Source organism: Homo sapiens, chromosome 7, assembly GCF_000001405.40.
Source record: "Homo sapiens chromosome 7, GRCh38.p14 Primary Assembly".
In the NCBI taxonomy this organism is placed as follows: domain Eukaryota; kingdom Metazoa; phylum Chordata; class Mammalia; order Primates; family Hominidae; genus Homo; species Homo sapiens.
The window spans coordinates 35183575-35195101 of NC_000007.14; the positions used below are offsets into that span (position 1 = coordinate 35183575).

Consider the following 11527-nt stretch of genomic DNA (forward strand, 5'->3'; position numbering starts at 1 on the left):
TACCATTAAAACAAGTATTTCAAATGTATTATTTTACATGTCTAGAAAGATAGCACACAAAGCAAGACAGCCAGCTAATCCTGTCTCTATGAGCATAGGAAAAAATCCAGGACACAAAGCAAATTCTGAACAGAGCTTACCTCTCTGCAGCAGGGCTCGACAAGTAAAGGGAGAAACTTGAGAGGGTTTTTTTACTTCAGGTAATTGGTAAGAGTGATGGAATTATGGAAGATTGTGACCTTTTTTGTTTTTTTTTCAGTATTATTTTCTATTCCTTTATAAGAAATTTTTAAAAGAAGTAAGTATATACAGTATGCTTCAGCTAGTTCTAACCAAGAGGAGCCACTCTAGATCAGTTTCTCTACCATTCATCAGAAGATGATTAAACGCAGGAAATCACTTCCTCAGCAGCACATCTAAAAGCCCCAATGTGCAGCTCAACCCTTGATGAATTGCAAGCTCTTTGCAAGAGCCCAGACCTAGAAGCTACTAGATGGCCTAGGAGACTAGTCTGGAGTCACGTGGGCCAACGCCCCATGTATACATAAGACTTCACCTGGGAGCTGGGAGACACTGCTCTGGGTATGGAGCTTTTACAGGAGCTGCAAACGCAGCCTGTGCCCCTGTTTGGTTGGGGAATTGCTTGTTTTCAATTCCCCTGGAGAGAGAAGAGTGGGGAATAGAACAAGTTAAAACACCACAAACTCTGCTGTTCTTATAGAGGTTCAGCAGCTTTTCTTGAATTAATGCCCTTTAGATTGTTGTAAACCTTTGGTTAATTTCCAAAGTTTGAAGAAAATGATTTTGATAATTTTCCAAGTATTTTCATTGTCGTCATGGAGGAGTGCATTTTCTTGGCTATTCCAGAAGTCCTACCTCCCTTCTGAGATTTTATAATAGTATTTCTTATGGTTATCCCAAATATACTTGGCAAGTCATCTTATAAACCACCAATAATAGCCTCTTAAAAATTCAAAAATTACTTCACTTGGCTAACAAAATAAATGCAAATTAATTCAATAATTATTGAAGAAATTAAATTTTTAAAAATTAAAAAATTGCAATGTTGAAATTCTCAACCATGCTTACCCAGATCTTTTCCTATATTACTAACTGTCCTGGGCTTATCTTAAACACTTCCCGGAAGATTTACTTGTTTTATACCAGGATAAGCAAAGTATGGCCCATGGTGTATTTTTGGACTGTCTGCAAGCACGGTTGCTATAATTTTTAAAAGGTTGAAAACTTTAAATGGTTGTAAAGATGCTCATAACTGTTTATTAGGCTTCATTAATTTTAAAATATACAGAGACTATCCTGTTCAACTATATTTGTATCCTATTTCTAATTCTCCTAACAATTATATACACTGAAAAAACTCTTCAGATGATATATAAGGAAAAGGTCAAATATAGTACCAAATTCATCTAGCTTTCCAAAGATGCTCAAAATCTTTCTGTGTCTCTCACTCCCTCCCTTAACCCACATACCACATCTGAAAAAAATGATATGGTGTAACGATGCCAGTATTCTAAATGCTTGAAGGGCTTATCACATGCCCTTTCCAAGCTGTGACAGAAGCATGTCCCCCGGACCCCGGCATCCTATCAATCTCACCTCTGAAGGTGACCCAGCCTCATACTTCACTGAAACAAAGACCATTAGACGCCAGCACTCCCAACTTCTTTTATCTCCACTTTAACATTTCTCCATATAGTAATTCTCGCTTTTCTACTCCCTGCCATCTCAGAAAAGGAAGTCTCTCTCCTCTTTTCCACAGTTAGCTTATCAAATTTGTGCCCTTAACTCTACCCCTCCAAATATTCCAAGACTTGCTCCACTAATTATTTCCTCTCTTGGAATCTTAATCTCATCCTCTTCCCTTGATCCTTGCCCCCAGCCTTTAAAACTCCTAGACCTTAAAACACTCTCTGCGATCTGACAGCCCTTCAAACCAATATACTCCCTATCTCTCTCTCTCCTCTGGTTCAATGACAAGATTTTTGGCCAACTTCTTTCTACTCAGACCTTGCTATTATTTCCTACTAGGCACCCACAAACCCTTGCTTGTTAAACTGATCTCCTTCAAGACTCAAGAAAAGCGCCATGCGGCTCCCTCCTAGGGCTCTCCTGCCCTCTCCTTACCGATGCTGAGAGTGGTTCTGCTGGGGAACCACCGCGCCTGCAGTTCGTGCACCTCTTCCCGGAGCTGCGCCAGGGAATTACGGACGAACTGGAAGGGGTCGAGAAGGGTCTTGGCCACCACCTTTAGCTCCAAGCCTTTTCGCTTTTTCAGATTTGGGATCCTCCCCGGGGAGGACCTCCTGGCGCCCCCTGGCAGTTTCCCGCCGCCTAGGGCCGACTTTTCCACCTCCAGCTCCCGGGCGGGGGAGGCCCCGTACGGCCGCTTAGACGGGCTGGGGCGGGAAGATTGCAGCGGCTTTGGGTTTACTCCTTGTTTCTTCATAATCCCTAGTGGAGCTGGGTCAATTTCAGGCACAGCCCATCCGAGTCAGGCGAGGTCCAGAAAGGCCTGACTCGCCTGGCAGCCTCAACGGACTTGTCCCCGCAGCCGTTGACTAGCCGTTGACGAGCGGACCTCCCGGTCGTCATGGCGACTGTGAAATGTAGGGTGGAGCGCATGCGTTCGAAGCCATTCGCGCGGGCAGTCCCTGCGTGTCCCCCTGCGTGTCCCCCCACGTGCTCCCCAGCGCGCGCAGCACCCCGCCTCTGCGCTTCCCCGAGCGTGCAGCTTCCGGTGAGGGCAGCCCCACGCACAGCCCCCAACACCCTCCCCAGCGCCTGCAGCCTTCGGTGCGCGCAGTCCCCAAGCCCACATGCGCAGTTCTCACCTTGCGCGCAGCCCCACGTACAGCCCCCAACACGCTCCCAGCCCCACTGGCGCAGAACCCATCACCGCTTGCCCTTCACGCGCTTCATTGGGAGTGCAGCTCCCACCCCGAGCGCGCAGCTCCACGCAGCCTCTCCACACTCTCCCCAGCGCTTGCAGCACCCCCCAGTGCGCACAGCTCTGCCAGTAGCTTCCCGGCGCGCCGCCCCTGCACCGCTTCGGGCCATAACCTTGCTGGCGACTAAGTCTGAAGAACTTCCTGTGGTTTCATTCTTTTCTTCAGGTTTAGTCTTAGCTCTGACATTTTAACCAAAAGGTTACACGTTAATTAACGAGGTATTAAAGGGGAAGATCTCAGCTGAAAGAAATGACTGTAGGAAGTGTGTCAGGGAAGCCAACGGAACCGCTGGCCCGCCGGTGGTGCGCCCGGCATTAGGAAAGTCTCTACGATCGCTGAGGTATCGGGCAGTCAGTGCCCGTTGCCAACGCGGAGGGAACGGGCGGAGACTGCGGGCAACACGTGGCAGAGCCGGCGTGAGTCCGGTGGGTCTGATCCCAGAGCCTCAGGTTGACGCCACTTCCTTGGCACGGAACAGCGTTTACTGAATCTTAGAGCAAAATGCTTTTCCAATGAGGTTCCTCAGAAGTCATCGGCCCTAGGAGCGGTGTGCTCAAGCGCTTTCAGCACCAGCCAGGACCAACTAAGAGGGGAGCGCTTACCTCCCAGTCACCGCGCAGCCCTACAAGAGGCCAAAGCGGCTGGCACAGATGCACTGGGGCCACTGACATTTTCCATGTCCTCTGTCACGGGCCACATGCTGGAGCCCACACCGCTTCACTTGCCATCTGTTTGATGATGGATCACATTGAACTCCCATATCCTAACTCACCAGTCTAAAGCATGGCTCATTGTGGCCAGGTTAATTTTTCCTGATGCAACACAGCACAAAAATGTTCGTGGCCCACAAATCAAGTCCTAGGCTTGCTCACCAATGCCTTCAATATTTGCCCAATATACCTTTTCAACTTTAATTTCCCACTTCCTCGGGCACAAAATCTTCCATCTCAGTCATTTCAGGTGAAGTCCACAGCCTGAGACATCATAACTGCTGAATTCCTTTATTCATGTGGAAAAGCCATCCCTTGGCTTTTACATCCTTTTCTCCCTGCCCATCTGAAAGCTGTCACCTTCCAAGCCCCAGCCCATTTCTCCAGCCCATATTAATTATGCTTTTTCTGAAGGTCTAGAGCACTTAACCGACAGTACTATTTATCTTGTCACTCAGTTAAATTCAGTAAGTGCTACTACTGCTCATTTTTTGTTTTGGGAGATTTTTTTCAAGGAGCATTTCTACATTCCTGGCATTGTGTTTGGTGCTCAAAATGTTTTCTCAATTCATGCAATAACTGTATGCAAATTTTAAATCAAGCATCAGGATGTAGTTATTTGCCCAAGTTTTAACAGCTAATAAATTCTATCTGTCCAATACTGCATTTAAAATACAAAGTATTTACTGTGGTTGATGAGAATATATTCTTGAATGGCTAGGCAAACTCAAAATAAAGCACCTTATTTTAAAATATGACTGTTTTAATGTTTTTTGGAACAATAAGTGAAGTGGAGCTATTGTTTTTCTTTTTGGTCAGTTTGTTTTTTCTGGAGTTTCCAATTGCCTTTTGCATCACTTGGTGTCCTGGTGGGATACAAAATGCTCTTACCCATGGTCTAGCCCATGAAAGTACAAATCTGGTCATTTTTATCATTTAAAAAATTAATCTTTTTATAAGAATGTTCATTGTGCTATTATTTATATCGTTAAAAAATAGAAGTGGCCTCAGTATCAAACACTAAGTTATGAAACATTCATATAGTGAAGCATTACAGCCACCAAAGTCATTTTGCATGGATATTTAATGATATAGGAAAATAGTCATGATATAATGTTAAAGGAAAAAAGAAGCAGGATATATTTTATGATTCATATGTTTAGTAAACACACAAAATTAACTGTGTGCCATGTGCTGCTCTAAATCTTTTACACAGGGGACTCATATAGGAAGATTACCAATGTATGACCTTGAGCTGGTAATTTAGCCACTCTAGGATTAATTTCCTCATCTGAAAAATGAAGACAGTTATATTTGTCTTACTGATGGTATGATTGAATGAATTAATGCTTGTAAAGCATCAAAAACACACCACATGCTTAAACAAATGTTCCTTTATTATGTTCTAGACCGGCCATCCTATAGTGCACTCGTGAGTATTTTTAGGTTGGTGCAAAAGTAATTGCTATTTTTGCCAATACTTCCAATTAATATTTTGCTCACTTGGTTTCTTTGTCATCAAGTGATATGTTAGTAATTATTAAACAGTAATACATGTTTTAGGTTCATTAGTTAACTGAGAGATAGTTGCCTAAATCATTATGTATCTACTCCTACTAAGGAGAGGAGTAGATTTGTATATAAGAGGGAAATCATGACACTTAGTTTTATGTGCAGTTGAATAGAATCATGGATGTTTTCATGTTTTTACAGCTTCTGTAACAGTGGTCACTTATTTTGACCTCATTATTTTGAATGGTTATTTGAGTCACATTTTAGCTGTATACTAACCAATGACAATAACTTAAAGCAGTTAGGTTGATAATTTAATCTATGATTAATTGACAATTAAAATAGCACATTATAATTAGATAAGATGCAATATATTCTTGCATTATCTTATCATCTTTGAAACAGAGATGCCTCATGATTTATATATATATATGTTTTTTTATATATGTTTTTATTATACTTTAAGTTCTAGGGTACACGTGCACAACATGCAGGTTTGTTACATATGTATACATGTGCCATGTTGGTGTGCTGCACCCATTAACTCATCATTTACATTAGGTATGTCTCCTAATGCTATCCCTCCCCCTCCCCCCACCCCACGACAGGCCCCAGTGTGTGATGTTCCCCTTCCTGTGTCCAGGTGTTCTCATTGTTCAATTCCCACCTGTGAGTGAGAACATGCGGTGTTTGATTTTTTGTCCTTGTGATAGTTTGCTGAGAATGCTGGTTTCCAGCTTCATCCATGTCCCTACAAAGGACATGAACTCATCATTTTTTATGGCTGCAGAGTATTCCATGGTGTATATGTGCCACATTTTCTTAATCCAGTCTATCATTGTTGGACATTTGGGTTGGTTCCAAGTCTTTGCTATTGTGAATAGTGCCGCAATAAACATATGTGTGTATGTGTCTTTATAGCAGCATGATTTATAATCCTCTGGGTATATACCTAGTAATGGGATGGCTGGGTCAAATGGTATTTCTACTTCTAGATCCCTGAGGAATCGCCACACTGTCTTCCACAATGGTTGAACTAGTTTACAGTCCCACCAACAGTGTAAAAGTGTTCCTATTTCTCCACATCCTCTCCAGCACCTGTTGCTTCCTGACTTTTTAATGATCGCCATTCTAACTGGTGTGAGATGGTATCTCATTGTGGTTTTGATTTGCATTTCTCTAATGGCCAGGGATGATGAGCATTTTTTCATGTGTCTGTTGGCTGCAAATGATTTAGCTTTTTTTTTTTTTTTCTCAAGATAGGGTCTCACTGTCACACAGGCTAAAGTGTGATGGTGCTCACTGAAACCTTGAACTCCTGGGCTCAAGGGATCCTCCTGCCTCAGTCTCCTGAGTAGCAAGGACTACAGGTGCAGGCCACCACACACAGCTAATTTGTTTATTTTTGTAGAGATGGGGTATCACTATGTTGCCCAGGCTGGTCTAAAACTCCTAGCCTCAAACACTCCTGCCGCCTCTGCCTCCCAAAGTATTGAGATTACAGGTATGAGCCACTGCACCTGGCTGCAAATTATCTGTCTTACATAGAAATCTCTAATCCGGTTATGGATATCTAAAACTTGCCTCAGTTTTTCCTTTGTCTTTTAGTAAAACAATTGGGAATTTTAAAAAATGCAATTAAACTATGTAACCAGCAGATGGCAATAATGATCTGTAAATCAAAATTTCAAAACTTAGTTACTTATTAAATTCATTCTTTAAAAAAAATCACTGTTCTTATAATAAATCCATTTACTAAATATGAAATGTAGGAAAATTCCAAATGTAACCCCACATAAAAATTACATTGCATATTTCATATGTCAAAATAATTAACATATTCATCATGGCCAAGATTTAGTTTTCCAAATAATAATGACTTTGTTTTAATTGATTCGAATAATTTATTAGATTTAAAGTTTTAACTTTGCACAAATACATAGATATAATTTAAGTGGATAGTTAAGTTCCATCTCTAGCCTCCAGGCTAGATAGAGGTGGTTTAGCGAAGACCATTTTGAAAACATTACAAACTTTTCCGGTTATAATTTCGTAATTTAAAATATGAATTTCACTTTAATTGAAACTTTCTGCATAAAAGATTGGTTTTTATTTGTGCTGTCTCATAATTTCTTATGCATTAAGATACTTTTCCCCCTTTGTACCGTGCAAGGAGTTGGAATTGGCACCAAAGTATTAGTTTGTACTTTATCAGCATTAGTTATTCCCAAAGATGGTGGCAAAATTCTTAGGATCTCATAGTTATTTTATTTAGTAATTTTATTTATTTTCATTATACCTTTCTAAGACTTTTTCTACAAATTCAAACATGAAATACATCCTTTGTTTAATTTTGTAGCTCCATTTTTGCCTTCAAAAATAGGATAGCCATAGGTATGTTCTTCTTGGAGCTTACTTATTCTCTAGGTAATTTCAAATTGGTCTGCTTATAAATGTTAAAAGATCCTTTCAAATTCTTCTTCAGCAAGTTGCCTCCACTAAAAAAAGTGTCTTTGGACGTGTGTATTTTATAAAACAACTGCTTCAGTCTAAAACCTTTCTTGGATTTACATATCTTGGATTGACTCATTTTTAAATAGCATATTTGCTGCTGTCGAATTACTTTACAGAGCCTCTTTAAATTCATATTGGATGCAGGTCTTCATCAAGGAGAAAGTGGAAAGACACCAACTTGCCGTGAAGCATACAGCAAGCTTAGATGTAAATGCATCTGTAAGTGATACTTTGCATAATGCTGTCTTTTGGACTATGGAAGAAAGGCATCTGTAATAACAAGTTGGAATTTCCAAGAGTTCCAATCTATTTTCTGTGTCCATGAGGGGGCTATCCACTCCCCACTCCTAACCCCCCAAAAAAAACCCCAAAACCAAAAAACTAGAGCTCTGTAAGCCACCCATGCCCCGGTCGTGTAGTGCTCCAGGCCTATGTCAGATACGACATACCTTATAAACAACTCCAGGCCTTTATCAGATAAGACATGCCTATAAAGGCGTGTCTTATTCAAAGGGAGGGAGGTGATCCATAAATTAACTGGGAGATTCTTTCAGCTCCAAGTAGAGAGACTGCACAATTCAATAGTATATGCACATTCATTTGAACCAGATTGGTACTCAGTTATCACTGTTAAATGACTTAACCAACATATACACAACAATACTTATATACATGTACCACATCCCCAAATCTACAAAATCCATTTTTCCCTGGATTTGATGGTAATATACCATGTACAAACTCCATCATATTGAGATTATTTTTATTTACCACCAAAGTAACTAATGTAAGAATTACTACATTCAATATTAATAAGCAAAAGCCTCTACTATGTTAGTCCATTTTCCCCATTTAGTAAAAAAAAAAAGTGCAGCTTGCTGCCAGTGCTCATTTAATTTTACATAAACACTTTGAGGCTGAAGCAAATCTGACTGATTTTCAACATGAAAATAAAATATAAAAACTGTTCTTAGAGTTATTTATAAACAGAATTTGTCTCTAATCCTAATGTAACAGAAATGTAGATGATGATGTTACAGTAGGATTAGAGATGAGTATTTTTGGGGCAAACAGGAAATGATTTAAAGAATGAGTTTCAGAATATTTATGGGCAGATTAAATGCAAAACATAGTAAAAGTGCCAATGATACATAATGAATCTGTGTGCTGTATTTTACATAATATAATATTTTAGGTTGATTTAAGATTGAACTTTGATTATAATATAGAGTTGAAGATATATCACTAGACTAGGCCCAGTATGCTTTGGCCAATTTACTTTGTTTCTCTAGTTCTGATTTCCTCAACTATAAAATACTTTGGATGACATGGCCTAAATAAGGTCTTTTAAACTTACTTGATTCTAGTTGGTATTTGTACAAATATTTAGGTAGATGCACCTGCTAAGTCATACAGTGGCCTGTACTAAGATCTCTTTTTACCACTTTTTTCCTTCCCTCCTCCTCTGCCTCCAGCTATGTGTTCAGACTCCACCCTGAGGGTCTTACTCTGCAATCTATCCCACAGTTTGTCCTCTAGTACCTACACTTGTCATTGCCCACCCAGAGGGCTGAGCTCATCTCTCTCTCATCTCTTCGGCCCAGCCCCAACCTGGCCTCCCCCTTATCCCTGAACTTTATTCCTCTGATTCCTTCTCACCTGCACTGCCCAGTCTCTAAGTAGGGTGGGCCTCCTTGTTCCTATTTTCTAATTACTTCTATCTACTAGTAGCCTAAATGGCAACTAGAGAATAAGGAGGAGAGTGAGACAGCCCTAAATAAATAATAAGTGTTTACATCAAGACCACCAGACTTGTTGGGGGCAGCAGAGCTCTGCTTTCGCATAAGTATGGACCCATCCCCTAAAGATAAATATGAAACTTTAAAATGCTCTCATCTTTGGTACCATCCGTTGAAACCCTTTTTGAGATACTTATTAGTGAGAATTTATAATCCATTAGTAGAAAAACCATCGAGTTTTGCAGCTTTCATATTTCTTAATTAAGGCTGTATGCCTGGGTTCAAAAAAAGCAAGGTAGACTTTTTTTTAAAAAATTAAAATTTGGAAATATTTAAAGGGCTAGTGCAGTGTCTTAGTTATAAGTGTTAACAGAATTTAAATCTTCACTATTCCTAAAAGAAACCCCATACCTACTTGCAGTCATTTCCATTCCTCCCTCCTTCCAGCCTCTGGCATGCACTAATCCATTTTCCATCTCTATGGATATTTCTATGCTGGACATTTCACATGCATGGGATCATATAACATGTAATCCTTTTTGACCAGCTTCTCTTAGCATCCTGTTTTCAAGGTTCATCCATGCTGTAACATTTATCATACTTCATTTTTTATAGCTGAATAATCTTCCATTATATGGATATGCCACATTTTATTTATCCATTTGTCAGTTGATGGGCATTTGGGTTGTCTCCACTTTTTGCCTATCATGAATGATGCTGCTATGAACATTCGTGTACGGGTTTTTGTGTGGACATACCTCTTCATTTTTCCTGGGTGTACACCTAGGAGTGGAATTGCTGGGTCATATAGTAAGTAACCTTTTTTTATCCTTTTCACGAATGGCCAGACTACATCATTTTATATTCTTACCGACAATATATAAGGGTTCCAATTTCTCCGCATCCTTGCCAACTTGTTATTGTAATTATAATTATAGCCATCACAGTGGTTCTTACGCGGTATCTCATTGTTGTTGTTGTTTTACTAAGAGGCTATTTTTAGAGCAGTTTTAGGTTTACAGAACAATCGAGTAGAAAATCTAGAAGTCCCATATATCCCCTCTCCCCCACACTGGCAGTCTCCCCTATTATTAAACTACTGCATTATTGTAGTGCATTAGTTACAATTGATGAACCAATATTGGTGCATTATTGACCAAAAAGTCCATTGTTTACATTACAGCTTACTCTGAGTTGCACAGTAGTATGAGTTTTGACAAATGCATGATTTCATGTATCTACTACTACAGTAGCATCACAGAGTTATTTCACTGGCCTAAGTATCACCTGTGCGCCATCCCTTCATTTCTCCCTCTTTCCCCCCAAACCGTGGAAACCACCAATCTTTTTACCATCTCTGTAATTTTGCCTTTTCCAGAATGTCATATAATTAGAACCGCCCAGTGTATAGCTCATTTTTCACTAGCAATATGTATTTGAGATTCCTCCAAGTCTTTTCACAGCTTGATAGTGCATTTCTTTTTATTGCTGAAAAATATTCCATTGTATGGATAATGGATGTACCACAGACTGTTCATCCATTACCTATTGAAGGACATCTTAGTTCTAAGTTTTGGCAATTATGAATAAAGCTGCTGTCAAGAGTCATGTGCAGATTTTTAAGTGGACATAAAATTTTAACTCACTTGGGTACATACCCGGGAACATACTTGCTAGATCATATGATAAGACTTTGTTAGTTTTGAAAGGAATTGACAAACTTTCTTTTTAAATGGCTGTACCATTTTGCATTCCACCAGCAATGAATGAGAGTTCCTATTGCCCCACATCCTCACCAGCATTAGCATTGCTAGTGTTTTGAATTTTAGCTCTTCTAATAGGTATGTAGTTGTAGCTCATGTTTTAATTTGCAACTCCCTAATCACATGTGATGTTGAGCACCTTTTCATATGCTTATTTGCCATCTGTATATCTTTAAGTATCTGTTCAGAGAGATCCTTTGCCCATAATTTGTCTTTTCCTTACTGTTGAGTTTTAAGAGCTCTTTGTATATTTGAAATACGAATCCTTTATCAGATATGTTTTTGCAAATATTTACTCCCAGAGTGTGGCTAGTCATTTT

General features: G+C 39.9%; 1 pseudogene across 1 annotated transcript in view; it reads right to left on the reverse strand.

Annotated features, from left to right (window-relative positions):
- Nucleotides 1-2601, reverse strand: part of DPY19L2P1 (DPY19L2 pseudogene 1) — a 106187-nt pseudogene extending 103586 nt beyond the window's left edge. The window contains exon 1 of the transcript NR_002833.3: nucleotides 2146-2601. The product of NR_002833.3 is annotated as a DPY19L2 pseudogene 1 (transcript). The remainder of the gene's footprint in view (nucleotides 1-2145) is intronic.
- Between the last annotated feature and the right edge of the window lie 8926 nt (nucleotides 2602-11527).